Below are 15,713 nucleotides of genomic sequence, written 5' to 3'. Positions count from 1 at the left end.
CTTAAGAAATTTATAATTTGCTTGAGGAGATAAAACATGTAAATGGGAAACATTTTTTGAAAACCCAGTAAAAGCAAAGCCACTAGCAGCCCTATTTAAATGTGCTGGCGAACAAGAACCAAAATCATGTCCTGGCTGGCTGGGTTTAGCTAGGAAAGCTTTTGAGAGAAGGGACACACATGGATTAGCGAAAGCTGGAGGGAAGGCTTTAACAATAATAAACCCTGGGAATTATAGCTAACATTTGTTTGTGTTACCATGTTCCATTCACTCTGCCAACTCCTCCATGTGCATGATCTCATAGAACCCTCACCATAACCCTGTGAGCCAGGTACTATCGTTATCCTCATTTTAAAATATAGCGAAACTGAGTCATAGAGAAGGTTAGGCCACATGTTCAAGGTTACTCAGCTAGTAAGCAGAATGGGGATTCATACTAAAGTTGGCTGACCCTAAAATCCAAGTTCCCAACACTATGCCTGGGGTTTATCCCATTTAAAAAATGTTAAGCTTTGTCATGTACCAAATACACTGGTAGGACAGAAAGAGCATTTACAGGGTTCTAGATGTGAGAAGGTACTCTCGGGGGCTCAGGTGACTGAGTGCATGTGTGTTGAGTTCCTGCACTCAGGTGACAGAGTAGTTGACCTGGCATGGGGCATTTACAGACATGAGGAGCTCAGCATGCCCCACACCAGGAAATTCCCAGTGTCCATTTTGTCCAAGCCTGATAATTGCAGTAATTTCCACAGGGTGTCTTTCCTGGGGCCATACGTTATCAAGGTACTGCCAGCAAAGTGAAGGTTGGACTATAAAGTGGCAGTCTAATCTTAAACCAGTGAAACAGCAGGGAAAAACGTTCACAGAGTTTGTTCACATCAGCATAATCTCAGTGAATCATCCCCAAGGACAAGCCCAAATGAGCAGGAAAGGCATGTGGATGAAATATAATCATCAGATGCAGTGGAAAAGACATGAGAAACCAGCGAAAGCAGCTGAATGACATTTTCTGACCAACCTTTGGTCATCGTTTTGGCTAAGCGTCCACAGGCACACCCAAAGTCCCTAAGTCCTGGGAGCCCACAAGGAAGAAACAGGATGTGTGCATGTTTATTTTGTGTGCACGCATGACTGTGTGTGTATGTGCGTGTTTAAATTCATGGCCAGCAACTCTGTTGTATGTGTTAAATGGCTGAAAGTTAGGAGAGTGCCAGGCTCGGCTTTAATTGGATTTTCTAAAGCATAAATAAAAGGTAGGGAAGGGAGATGCATTCTTTGATGGATGTCTTCCCTCAAGTGTGCACAGCTGGCTGAGTCCCTCTCTTGCCTAATTAAGGGGCTTTATTCTGCTCACGCTCAGAGCTGCTGCCTGCATGCTTGTCTGGAAGCCGACATCAAGCCCATTTGGCCAGAAATACCTCTAGAGGTGGAACTGGCCCAGAAGACTGGACCCCCAGAGTGCTATGGAATGTCTATGGGAACAAAGGAGGACCTAATGGACAGCAGAGAAACACGATGCCCAGCTCTGGTCTGGTAGGAGGTCCCTAGAAGAATGGCTTCAAGTGAGACTTAGAAATACACCCAGTCGGTTAGCCTTTGGGAAGCGTAATGAGTACTACCTCCAGTAGTTTTTGAAGGTCAGCCTTTGTTGTGAAGGGAGGTGGGATAGGGGTGGGCTTTCAGGGGCTGGGAGAAAAGAGAAACCATCCTGCCGTCTTGCCCTCTACTGTCCATTTTCCTCACCAGGACCAGGTATAAGGGAGGCAAGTTGGGCAACGAGGGAGACAAAATTTCAGGAGCTGCTCACTGTTGTGTACTTGCAGTACTGTAGCCACAGGGATCTTTCAAACATGCATACATGAGTGTGTCAAAGACAGAGACCAAATGCCTTAACAGGGCTCTGTCAACCTGGGGATCTCTCGAATGTAAAATTCAGATTATAGGTCAGAAGGGAGAGTCTGAGAGTCTGCCTTTCTAATGAGCTGCCAAGGTGATGCTGATGCTGCTGGCCTGGGGACCACAGAACAGTGAGGGTTCAGGTGCCAGCAGAGTCAGGATGTCAGCTGGGTCTGACCTACAACCTGTTTTTGTAAATAAAGTTTTATGAAAACACATTCATTTACATATTGTCCATGGGTGCTTTCTAGTTACAGCAGCAGAATTGAATAGTTGCAACAGAGTGCATGACCCATAAATCCTAAATTACTTACTGTCTGTCCTTTACAGAAAGGTTTGTTGATCCCTCTTTATGAAATCTGTCTTTGTTTATCGCCTGTTAATTACATTTCAGCCAAAAGCCATGCACTTTCCTTTCTGGGGCTTTGCAATTAAGATTGCCTCTGCCTTGATGTTCTGTCCTTTCTCTTTTAAACTTTTGCCTTGCTTCTCTGATCTCAGCTTAGATGTCATTTCTTCCATGATGCCTTGCTTGACTTCCAAAGACTGAGTTAAGTGACTCTCATATATGCTTCCAGGGAGTCTCAAACTTCCCATTGTGACGTGAATGGACACTTATTGCCCTAAATGGTGATTGCCTATTTCATCATCTAGATCTCCTGTTAGACCATAGGCTTCCTGAGGAGAGACCATACCTGTTAACTATTGAATCCCAAGCACCAGGCACACAGTGTTCAGTTTTAAAGTTGATGACTTTATGACAACTTTAGAACCTTTCTTATGTTTAAGCACTCTGAATGGAGAGACATCTTGAGATTCCAGAGAAATTCAATCTAATCTACTTACCAATACTGGTTTCTTGGAAGAGGATAAAATATTCAACAATGTCATCACACTCACCCAACACCACTCATGCTCACACACAAACACACACACACAGCTGCTCTTGGCTCTCATTTCTGGGTTAGGCAGAGAACTTACATACATTTTGAGATTAAAATCCTTGAGCATTTAAGAATGGACCTATTTTTTTTCTTAAATCTTCTGCACTGAGGCACTTTAGAGCTGTGGTAGAAGTTTCAACAGGAGGAGAGTAAAACTCTGTTTATAATGATTCTTGGATTGTATTTATTCCTGTTCTCCTTTAATAGGGAGAATGGAACTCCAGTTCAAGGGGCCATTTCAGGAAAATAATCAGCCATTAGGTCAACTGCCTCTTTCAAGAGAACAAGCAGTGGTTTACAAAGCTCATTTCCACTCAGTGGGGCCAGTGGAATCTTGGGTGAAAAGCCAAGGTCTGCCCAGTGAAAGCTGTGGGCTGGTCTGGGGTCTGGCTGCTATAGACAGGTGTCTGTAATTGCCTCAGGTTCTTTCTTGAACACTGCAGTATGCGCTTCCAAGGTGGCCCTTCTGCAGTATGCAGGAGGTGTCTAGTGGCAAGGCTTAAAGACTTTAAGCCAACCGTTGATTGAAGGTTTATAAGATTATCTTGATGAGATGGTCTGAGCTAACCAGATGCCTATCAAACCAATGATTCTTCAATTCCTTCCTGAGATGTTTAAACCACTGCCACAATGTTTGCACATCATGAGGCATTTACCTCTTTTCCTCACACTCTTTATTTCTGTTCATTTATGGTCAGTTCCACCAGGCCTCATTCCCTCAAGTTCGTCGTTAACTATCAGAACCTATGTGTGTCCAGGACCACTGCTTTTTTGTTATCACAGATGAGTGCTTATGACTTTTTAATATCATAGGCATTTCCTCTGCAATCTCTCTCACTTTCTTTTTGAAGTGAGAAAAAAGCTGCTTAGGAGAAATTATGTAACTCCAGAAACAAGAGCCAGCATTGGAGACATCCTGTGACAGTGAAAAGCCAAATTCCAGATGTTGGGTTTTGATTCTCCAAAGAAATGTGTTCAAGGAAGAGAGGGATTGGAGTCAGATCAGGAATTCATTAGAGATCTGCTGACTTCCCTTCCTGCACAGTTAAGTGCTCAGTATACGCAGCTGACACAGGCTTTGGGGGACAGGGCTGAGGTGGGCAGCACCCTGGGCCCTAGCTGCCCAGCAAGCTGCAGGCCTCTGTCTTTCAGATGCCTGGGACATTTTCCCTCCTGATGCTCTCAATAAATGTTTACTGCAGGACATCTGAGGCAGGACATACAGGACAAGGTTCTTGGAGGAGATGTAATATTATTTATTTTCCTTTGTGCCAGTCTGAATATGTCAAGTGAGTAATTTCTGGACTTTTGTGAAGTTTGACCTCTTTTTCTCTTTTTTTATGTGAAGTAGTTGCTTATTTCTCTGTTTTGGTTTTGTCATAGCTGGGATTTTTCAGGCCACACACAGACATACTTTTTAGTTTTGGCAAGGAGTAAACGGCCAAAGCTCATAAATTACATTCATAAATATTTAGTGTACTTAGATGTGCTGAGGATTTTTAAAGGAAAGGAAAGAAAACCAAGGCTGGGTAAAAATAAGCTTTAGCCAGAGAAAAACAAAATCCTTTCTTGTTTGAAAACTTGAAAGCAGTCACTGAGAAACAAAAATGAACTTTGGAAGTGTTCAAAGGAATCGTATTCTGCTCCCAATATAATAGCAAGGAAAACATCTCTTGATTTCAATAAAATTTTGGATTATGTGCTCCACAATGACAGGGTGAAGAAATGGTTGCATTTAAGAGTCAATGAATCATGGAGAAAAAGAAATGATGATCCTGGAAGCAGCTAATGATCTAATATAGAGCTGCTCTGGGTCACACAGTGGGTAGGAACCAGGGAATCTGGCTTCTCATCTTCCATTCTTTGGGGGGAAGCCTGCATTGTCCTCCGGTGTCTGGAAGAGACTTAGGTGTAACCCACTTTGAGAGACACTAAAGTACAGCCATTTGGATATATCAGAATGAGACAGGAATGATGCTTGCGTTGGCAAGATTCTTCACTTTCTAGGAGTGTATTCATCCCTAGATTTGTCTAGTAGCTGCTCTAGTACATTTAAAATAAAATTGAATTTCTAAAATATTGATTTTTTTAAAGAAAAACACACAAAAAACACAAAGCTTTTTAGGAAATGCTCCATTGCATAAAGAGAGATGTTCTTGTGCTAGCTAATTTCCTCTCAGCTTTATGAAGCTATCGGCATTGACATCATTTTGTCATTTTCCTGCTCAAAAACCTCCTGTGCCTCCCCATTGTCTATTGCAAGGTTTCTCAACCTTGGTGCTATTGACATTGATGTCATTGATTGGGTGGTTTATAAGCAACAGAAATTTATTTCTCATGGTTCTAGAGGCTGGGAGGTCCCATATCAAGGTGCCAGTAGATTTGGTGTCTCTTGAGGACCCACTTCCTCACAGACAGCCAACTTCTAACTCTAACCCCAGAGGGTGGAAGGAGTGAGAAGTCTCTCAGGTCTCTTTCATAAGGGCCCTAATCTTATTTGTGAGAGCTCCACCTTCATGACCTAATCACCCCCAAAGCCTCCACCTCCTAATACCATCATCTTGTAGGGAGGTGAGGATTTCAACATAAGAATTTTGGGGGGACATAAACATTCAGACCAAATTACATCCCCACTGAGTCATGACAACCAAAAATGTTTTTGGGCATTGCCAAATGTTCCCTGGAGGGAAAAATCAGTCCTGTTTGAGAAACACTGGTCTACTGAATAAAGAGTATAGATCTTTCCTTCTCCATTAATCTCCACCTCCCTCATCCTCTCCTTGAGGCATGTCTGCCTCCCAGTCCCCAGACATTTGTTAATGCCCTTTAGTTCTTTGTTCCTGTGTTTTCCCCCACTTGAAATGCATTTCCTCTTGCTTGTTCCTATCTAAACCTTACCATACCTTCAGAATACATTTCCAGTCCCAACTCTTTCGGCATTCCCAACCCCATTTGCTTTCCTCTTCCTAATACACATAGTATTTATAGTCCCTCTTGCTCTTTTCGAGACAACAGAAACTCCAGAGGTGTTTAGGGCCATCTGCAAGTAGAGAAACCTTGAGCTCCTGGAGAGACCCCTGGGGATGAATTAAGAACCCAGAGTAGAGATTATTGCTCAGGATAGCCCCAAGAGTTCCCTACACTCAGAGGGGAACAGATGTTGCTGAGAGAGGACCAGGCCCAATGAGGCATTCAACTGGGTTTGGCGATATTTGGTGGTCACTTGAGTAGATTGATGCTGAAAGTCCAGATGGGGAGAAGGAACATGGCCACTGGGGAAGGATGACAACCTTGAGGACCAGCTTCATTGGACGCTGATAACTTGCCACCAAATAACCCAATTTAGGCAGTCAGTGGCAACATCAAGATGGTGGCTTTGAGATTGAAGTACCATACAATTCTGTCAGATTCCCCTCTAGCCATTCTGATAAGAATAAAAATAAAAATAAAAATAATAACAATTATTAATATCATTCTATCACTTAGAGTGATCAACTGTCCCAACTTGTCTGGGATGGGTTGGACAGAGACCCTGAAATGTGGGGCTTTCTGCTGTGTAACTGAGATGGTCCTGTGCATACCGGAAAAATTGGTCACCCTACTACCATGATTACTACTACAACTACTGCTACCATTAATATTTTAATATTTTTTAATATTCCTCTTATTCTAATAGTTTCTAATATTCTCTTTTAGGTGCAATTTAAATTTTCTCAATTTATGCAAAGTTAGTTGAAAGCTACTTCAGAAAAAAATTTTTTTGATCCAAAACATATAATGCAACACACACACACCTTCCAGTGGGAACTGCCATCCCTAACAAAACTTCTTTTAGATAGAATTCTGGCATTGCTTGTTGCCAAGAGTTCTCAATATGACACTGGGCTGGGAAACTCTTCCCTCGCATTGCACCCATCTGATTTGGGTCAGAACACTCATGGTAATGAGGGTCTACAGTCTTGAAGGAATGTCCAAATATCTGAGTATGTCTTCTTTTCCATTTATGCAGCTTAGACCTCTTTTCTGGTTAAGTCAATTGAGTGATCCCACTTACATGGTCTGAGATTGCTGCAGGCAACTATTCCATTTACAAAGCAACATGAGTTCCAGATAATCTAATTGGTTAATCAAGATTCTCTAGCAAAATGAAACAGGCCAACAAAACAAATCAAGTCAACAAAACTAGCTTAATTGTGTTTATCTGAGTAGACTTGGCCACAAAAATACCTGTCCTGAATTCTAGTCTCATATCCATTATTGACAAGCCATATAACTTTGCATAGATCAGTTGACTTGGACTAGCAGCTAACTTTCTCTTCTGTAAAAGAGATGATATTAGTTTGTTATGCTAGTGATTAGTTTGTATCCAATGAGGTGAGAGTATGCTGAGAAGCGTAAGGTGTTATGCAAATGGAAGTCTTTGCACTGAAAGCGTTCTCTTTTGGTGACTTTTAAAAAGGAGTATTATGTTAACCTTATCCTGGATCTGTGTTCAAAATCTTACAATACATTGCCATTCAATTTCACGTGCTCAGCGGTTCTGTGTGGTATAGCTGCTGTTTTTGGCAAATGTCATCATTTCATTCATCGAGCTGTCCTGAAGTTTGGGCCCTGAGGTAGCACATGTGGAATGAGGACAATGGAATTCTCCATCCTCCAACTCCAGTAAATTCCGTGGGACTGCATGCAGTGGCCCCTTGATGGTAACTCTGAGCCACAGTGCTCCAAAGTATAAACTATTAAAAAGTATTAAAAGCCCTTACTCCAGATGAACAGAGGTGATTTCCAATCTAAGCCCAACCTCAAAATTCTAGCTGAAAGAAAACTATCCAATTCTGTGATTCCCAAGTGATGTTTGAACCTGGGCTACTAGGGCTGGGTAGTAACTAGGATGATGGGCCTACTTTACTTTTTCAGTAGTATCTGCGGCGATGAAAACATCAAGGAGGTTATCGTAGTATGTACGTGTGTGTATGGGGAGATGGCGGAGTGCACCAGCTTTTGAGTCAGACTGACTTGGGTTTAAAGAGCTCTGTTCTGTAGCTATGCTTTGAATTAATATCAAATAAGCAATATTATAATTTCTATTATTATTCTTGCTCAGTTGAGATGAGAATGTGGTCTTTGCATCAAGGATGCCTACTGGGGTGGCTCACAATAGGACAACCCTGGAGAATGCCGGTGGGCAGATGGTTCAGGACAGAAAAAAATTAGCTTTGGTCTCATCCAATCAGCTTGACTTTCCTGTAGGAGAAGCAGCAACTGGAAGGAAAGGTATGGAAAGCTGATTTCCAGTAAGCACTACTGGTAGATGGAGCAGGAATAGAGGAAAATTGTCCTATAGCCTGTAGCAATGGTGAGAAACCTTCAAAATATGTGGCTGGAGACAATCTCCAGGAGTCAGTTGCAGCCAGGCCAAAACAGGCCTGCTAAAGGAAGGGAAGATGGACCTCAAGGTGATGCTTGTTGCTCTCAAGGAGCCCTGCCTCCAGCAACTTCAGTTGCTCAAGGGTGCCCAGATAAACTTTATTCCTGGCTGTGAATAGAGATGACCTAGTCTTACTCCCCACCTTGCACCTTTTCTAGGCTCCATCCCATTCATAGTCATTTCCATGTGCTGAAATCCAGCTCACCCTTCAAGGCCTGTCTCAGATGATCCCTTTTCTGTGGAATGATTCCTCTGAAAGTGCTCTCTCCCTTCTCTCTAGCTGTGATGCACAGACTATTGGGATAAAACCAAGAAACAACTTGGGGATTTGGGAAGGATCGATTTGGATGGAGAACTTTTATTTTACCAAGGAATGATATTTAAAAATGCACAAACAAAAACTGTTTTCTACTTTATAAAAGTTAGTATGTTAATTTCAAAGGTAGGAAGGACATGATTTCAGAATAAACAATAGTTTTTAAAGTAGGACAGAGTTAATGTTACCAAAAAAATCTGTCTACATTTTTTCTGCATCATTTCACATTAGACTTCTGATAATTTTACTATGGGTTTGGACCCTTCTGCAGATCATGGTATTTGGCAATCTCAACCCTGTGACAACTTATTGGTACCTCTTTGGCCCTTCTCAAGGTCCTCATCATGCTGACATTTTTTGGGTTTATGGCTATTATATTAGAAGCTCCCTTATGGTAGGACACAATCCTTACTTATTTCTGTATACCCTAGAGTTCTTAGCCTAGAGTCAATCCCTATGAAGATTGACTAGCTGGATAACTGTGTTGTGATTGAACAAGGTAGACTGTCCAAACACAGAAAAAATGCTAGGGGCTTTTCCAGGGGGTACTTTACTGCCCTATTTCTGAGAGTTTTACATGGAAATCAGAGCTATAGTAGATTGATTGCATTAAGGGCCCTTATTCTATACCCCTCTCTAACCCATAGTCCTATAATCTTATAGTGCTCTACAAGGGACCCAGCCATATGACTTACTCAGAATAATTGGACGTTAGCATGCATCATGCAAATGGAGGCTTGAAAAGGTACTTGTTTATTTCTGCTTGTGCTCTTGCCATCTGCTATTGCCTTGAGAGAAATACATTTGAGCTAACCTGCTGGAAAATGAGATAGGTGAAAGAAGCCAAGTCATCCCAGTCATTCTGATTAAGGCCAACCTATATCAGCTAGGAACCAGTCAACACCCAAACACATGATGAGCAAGCCACTATTATTGGCAGGAGCAATTGATAGATTGATGTGCAGCTGACAGAGACCTCTTAAGAAAGCCTAGCAAAGATTAGTTGAGCTCAGTTCAAATTAGCTGGATCCTACAGACTTGATGAGTTTGACTAGTGTTTGTTGTTGTTTGCAATTGAAATTTTGTGGTAGTTTGTTGTGTAGCTTTATTGGGGCAATAGACAATTGATACAAGAGCCTTGGCTAAAAGGTAAAACAGGTGGTATATTAGAGTCCCAGAAATGATGTGACAAAGAACCACAAATGGATGGCTTAGAACAACAGAAATTTGTTGCTTCACAATTCTGGAGTCTAGAAATCTGAAATGAAGGTGTCAATAGGGCTGTTCTCCCTCTGAAGGCACTAGGAAAGGATTGTGCCATGTCTCTCTCTTAGCTTCGTGTAGCCTTAGGCATTCTTTGGCTTGCAGATGCGTCACCCACTCTTTCATCTTCACATATGTTCTCTGGTCTTTACATCATCTTCTGTCTTTGTGTGTCTGTCCATATGTCCAAATTTGCCCATTTTATAAAGACACCAGTCATATTGGAATAGGGCTTATCTTAGTCCACTTTGTGCTGCTCTAACAGGGTAATTGAGACTGAGTAGTTTATAAAGAACAGAAATTTACTTTCTTATGGTTCTTGAGGCTGGCAGTCCAAGGTCAAGGCATTGCCAGGTTTGGTTTTCTGGTGAAGGCTGCTCTCTGCTTCCAAGATGGTGCCTTGATGCTGCATCCTCTGAAGGGGAGGAATGTGGTGCTCTCACTCGGTGGAAGGTGGAAGCGCAGGCTAGTTGAATGCTGCATGAAGTCTCTTTAATAGTGATTTAATTCTGTTCTTGGGGGAGGAGTCATTATGGCCTAATCACCTCTTAATGGTCCCACCTCTTAATTTCATCATATTGGCCATTAAGTTTCAAGACCTAAATTTTGAAGATGACACAGTCAAACCATAGCAGGGCCCATCCTAATGACCTCATTTTAACTTTATCACCCTATTTCCAAATAAGGTCACATTCTGAGGTACTGACAGTTAGCATTTCAATATATCCTTTTTTCAGGGAGGAAGCACAATTCAGCCATAACAGGTGGTAAAGTTACTGTGAGTTACCACTGAAGGCCATGAGAACCAGTCACATGGTATAATTTAAGCCTCCTAATACATCTCCTTCCCAAATATCTTTCCCCAACCCACTGGAATTATCCTATGGCCTGCCATTTTACCATAGAAAAAGTCCCTTCTAAAATATTCCTTTGGGATGTTGGAGGATCCAGATAAAAATCATGATTAGCTAACATCTGTGTTATAAACTGAAGTGAACAAAAAGAGGAGTAAGCCAGAAAAAGAAATGGGCAGAGAAGGAATTCTATAAGGAGGAAAATGGCAACTCAGCAGGCATCTCTGAGCCTGGACCTAGTGGCAGCACCTGCATCCTAGGGGGCAGCTGGGAGGAGTATGTCACCTAGGATTCATGCTCTGATTCCCAGGAGGCACTCCTGTACTGCATAGGGATCCTGACCCTAAAGAACCATCTTCCAGCAAATGATTTGCTGCTGTGAATCTCTTTACTTATTCTGAGTTAATTAAGCTTATGTAAAATGCATCTCAATGTTTCCAAAACAATGCACCACAAAATACCAAAGTTTTGATGCTTAAAACTAAATTAAATAAGACAAGCATACTGCCTCTTAATGCTTCAGTGGCATAATGCTTTGTACTTTCAGACTTTCTCAGCCAACAAGAGAGGGGCTTCTAAATTTTGCAAATATACTATCAGCCAGTCCTATCAGCTTTTCTGAATTCATTGCTATAGAAGACGCTTTGCCCAGCTCTGGCTACAAATTTTCCTGCCATCTTGCAAAGATTTATTGTCTTTCAACACTAGCCTCCAGGATTTCTTGTCAAGCCATAGGCCAGGTGCAAATGAACCATTTCATTCTGGCTTTTTTCAAGTTGTAAAAATTAAACCTTCCCTCTAAGATAGGGAATTTTGCTTTGAGAGGGCTTAGAGAAGAGAATAAAGAGACTACCCATTGGCCATTCACCAGAAACCATTTGCAACCTGCAGCCAAAATGGCCTGTGCATGATATGATTGCTTTACCTACCTTCTAGCAAAACTCCAAATGTACCTCTTGGCCATACCCATAGAAACCACTCTGCTAATTTCCACAAAATAAGCAGTACCTGGTTTGGACAGATGCCTTGTCTATCTCTATCCTGGGCAATTTGTTAATGGTTAGGTGGATTCTGGTTCTGAAGAGGTTGGAGACAGTGACGAGTACGTGAAATGACAGATCAGTGGCTCTCCACATTGGCTGCACAGTGGAAGCACCTGTGCAGCTTTAAAAATACCCGTCATGGTGAATTTTATGTGTCAACTTTACTGGGTCACGGTGTGCAGATAATTGGTTTAACACTATTTTGGGTGTTTGTGTGAGGGTGTTTTTGGATGAGAATAACATTTAAATCAATAGACTTTGTGTAAACCTGATTGTCCTCCCTAATATGGGTGGGCCGCATCCAGTCAGTTGAAGGTCTACACAGAACAAAAGACTGACCTTTGGACTTGAACTGGAACATTAGCTCTCTCCTGGGTCTCCAGCCTGCCAGCCTACCCAGCCTACCTGTATAATCAAGTGAGCCAAATCCTTAAAATAAATCTCTCACTATATATATACACACACCCTACTTGTTCTGTTCCTTTGGAGAACCCTGACTAATGCAATAACTATATCTGAGCCCTTTCCCCCAGTGATTCTGATGCAATTGGTCTGGGGTTGGCCAGGGACACTCATGAGGGGTGGGTTAATTTTTATAGATCTCTGGGTGATTCTCAGGTGATACCAGGGTTGACTACAACTGCCAGAGCTTCTCTCTGCCCCTAACACATAAAATGGGTCCTGGCTCAAATCACATAACCATGAGTCCTGACTTTGCTATTAATGGGCTGAATAACATTAAGCACGTAACTCAAACTTTTTGAGCCTCAGTGTTCTTATCTGTAAAGTGGAGATAATGACACCAGAACAATTTGATTGTTGTGAGGGTGAAGACAGGTCAAATAAAATGACCTACAGAAAATCACAGTCTTTTCATTTTTATTAGGTGGGATGAATGCATGCATCTTGTGTACATGTTACTTTTGTCATCACCATGCTGTATAAAACATGCCTCTGTAAGAAGGGTGGGTTTTTTTTTCACCCTTAGGTACTAACCTTTAGCCTCTCCTCTTGGATAAGCAGCTTGGTCTCTGCAGTTTTCCTAGAGTGGCTGGGAGCCCTGGATCTGACCTGATTTCAGCACAACGGGGGCCAAGCCAGGATGGGTGGGACCCTGGATATTTGAGATTCAGCAATTATTGTTGACTTCAGGCCTCTGTGTGGGGGCTCTGCACAAGGGGACTAACTGGGACTATGATGAAGTCGTAGGTCACTTAGAAAATGTTGGTGAAACAAATCGAAATATTGTGGCCAAATCGCAGCTGTGTAAGAGAGCAGGAGACATATGTGACCGATTTTCATGGTTAGCTGAGAGGCACACCATCGCCTGGGGTGAGAGGCTTCAGTCATGCATGGGTGAAAATGATCTCCCTCCATCTCTGGCCGACGGGCAGCTTGCTGTTGATTATGTATTAATTTCAAGTGGTCATGCCCCTGTTCAGGTATCATTGTGCCTGGCTGCAAAGCATGCTCCTCCATGTGACATTTGAGAGGGACATTTGAGAGGGTTAGCGAAACCACTTTTCCCATTCTCTGTCATCTTGAGTGAAATGTATTCAGGACGTGTAAAAAGCATGCCCTTTAATTTATGGCAACGTAAACAAAACCTAAGCAGCCTGAGCTGAAACTACAAGATGAGGGAGATAGGAGAAAAGTGTGGGTGTGCTTAATGCACTTCAGATCCATTCACTCCTATGCGTGAGTCTGGGCAGGACGGCTGCAGAATTTGGACCATGAACACATACTTTGCTCATATTAAAATTGTGAAAATAGTTGCGTTTATTTACATCGTGCACTGGAAGAGGACATTTTTAGTAGCTTAAGGAAGGTGCGTCATTTGAAAGGATTGACAAGTAGGAAACCTATATTCAAACCTATATGCAGAAAAGCCTATACCAGGTGTGTACATTTTCACCCCACCCAGGAAAATCAACTATTAGATGGCAGTTGGTGGAAACCACCAAGCAAGATCTGACAGTTTTTGATGGGCCTTATTTATTCATCATATGCTTATAGGCTGCCTCTGGGTCAGGCTCTGTGCTAAACTCTGAAGGGGTATAAAGATGTGTTCATGCAATGTCTGCCCTGAAAGGATTTACATTAAAATGTGGTATAGGGCAGTGATTAACACAGTATACAAGTTTCACTTTTTACTAGTGGTGTACTTATATGTAAATTACTTGACAACTCAGTTTCTTCTTCTGTAAAATGGATTTGATGATCATGGTAATGATGATGATCGTGATGATAATAACGATGATGGTGATAGCAAACACGTATTGAGTACTCACAACCTGCCAGGCTTACAGGCATGGAACTCAGAAGCATGGAACTTTCGCGTAGTCCTCATTCAATCCTCACAATAAACCAATGAGGTAGGTTATTATTACCTCCATTTTTACATCCTTTATGAGATATAATGAAGATTAAATGAGTTAATGTATACAGAGCACTTAACACAATGCCTGGCATTAGGAAACCCCAGTAAGTAAGTAATTGGCAATAATCATGAATATTAAAATTTTAATTAGTGGATAGAAGCCAGTTCCCAAATAATTGTCATAGCTGCTTTAGAAGAGATATAGGCAAAATGCTATGAGGGTTCAGAATGGGGAGAGTACCTGTAGAAAGAACAAAGACTTCACAAGGGAGGTGGTCTTAGAGCTGGGCCTTCCAGAAAGGATGTGATCACAACAGGCAGCATGGCTACAAAGGCGTGCAAGCAAAAGCACCAGCATGAACAAGGCCAAGAGGCCACATGGAGCAGGGGATGTTTGGGGCAACTGGAGTAGGCTAGTTTGGCTAAGGGAGGAGGAAATATAGGAGTTAAGATTTAAAAAAAAATGAAGGCCTGCTTTGGAGCACCTTGGATGCATTCTAAGAGTTTACACTGAATTTGGCAGGTAGGGAGGCCACCAAAGGATTCATTATAAGTGGTGATAGCCACTGTCAGAGCTGTTTGCTTCTTGAATGCAGCCTTCCAAGAGTTACCCAGGGAACACATAAAATATTGGCAAAGCCATTGGTCCTGGGATTTAAAATGAACTCCGGGCCAGGCCACAGTCCAAAGTGGATGAGAGTTTAGCTTTAATGAGGAGGATTAGGTCAGATCTGAAAACCCACAGGGGTTAGATTTAGCTGGTCTGGTCCCTGCATCAACAGCAGTGCCAATATTTTATCTGTTGTTAAAGTGATTCCACCCATCTTTCTTCCACCCTCTTGCCTGTCTGAGAGAGATACTTATAAGGACCAGCAAGGAGTGCCCGCACATAACACACAGTGATGACAGGGCATGTGGAATGGAATTTGCATAAAACTTATCACCAAATTCTGGAGGATTCTCTTCACCCCCTCTCCACTTCCTCCATTATTTCTTAATGGGACAAAAAGTGATCCAAAAACAACCAATGAATTGTGTATTTCTTGCATGCCTTTGATATGCAGGCACAGAGCTACAAGCTACATGTCCCTGGCCCCTCTCCCTAGGAGCACAGAGTTCCAGTGAAGAACCTAAAGCACAAACACTGACAGCTGTAAGGTAAAGTAGAAAGGGGTAAGAACATTTAAGGCGAGCAGCAGAGTGCTTGTGTTGGTGGGGAGGGTGCAGGTGGTAATGATGGGCCTTCTTTGGAGAAAGTCAGCACCTATCAACCCCTTATTTTGTCCTTTATATTTGAGTACACCGTCTGCTGTGGGCTGCGTGGTGCAGTGTCTTGATATCAGACAGACCTTGGTCTGAATCTTGGATCCACCTTTTACTAGCTAGGACTCCTCTGGTAAAATTTTTGAGCTTCATTTTCTACAAAATGGGGATTGATATTGCAGCCATGCATTGCCTAATGAGGGGGGATACATTGTGAGAAATGTGTTGTTAAGCAATTTCCTCATTATGCGTACATCATAGCATGTGCTTCCACAAACTTAGATGGTATAGGCTACTACACACCTAAACTATACGCTATATCCTAG

The 15,713-nt window shown here is 42.2% G+C and overlaps 1 long non-coding RNA gene across 6 annotated transcripts in view; it reads left to right on the top strand.

Annotated features, from left to right (window-relative positions):
• Positions 1-1,270: 1,270 nt before the first annotated feature.
• Positions 1,271-15,713, top strand: part of LINC03007 (long intergenic non-protein coding RNA 3007) — a 196,819-nt gene continuing 182,376 nt past the window's right edge. For 5 of the 6 annotated variants that reach the window (NR_157810.1, NR_157809.1, NR_157812.1 and 2 more), the window contains exon 1: positions 15,191-15,282. This is a non-coding gene — a long non-coding RNA (long intergenic non-protein coding RNA 3007). Of the gene's footprint in view, positions 1,638-15,190; positions 15,283-15,713 lie in introns of those variants that run through there. The other variant, NR_157808.1, reaches the window with a different exon arrangement.

This window comes from Homo sapiens, chromosome 7 (genome assembly GCF_000001405.40).
Source record: "Homo sapiens chromosome 7, GRCh38.p14 Primary Assembly".
NCBI lineage: Eukaryota > Metazoa > Chordata > Mammalia > Primates > Hominidae > Homo > Homo sapiens.
The sequence above is the reverse complement of the archived record's forward strand: the minus strand, read 5'-3'. Positions and strand labels throughout refer to the sequence as shown.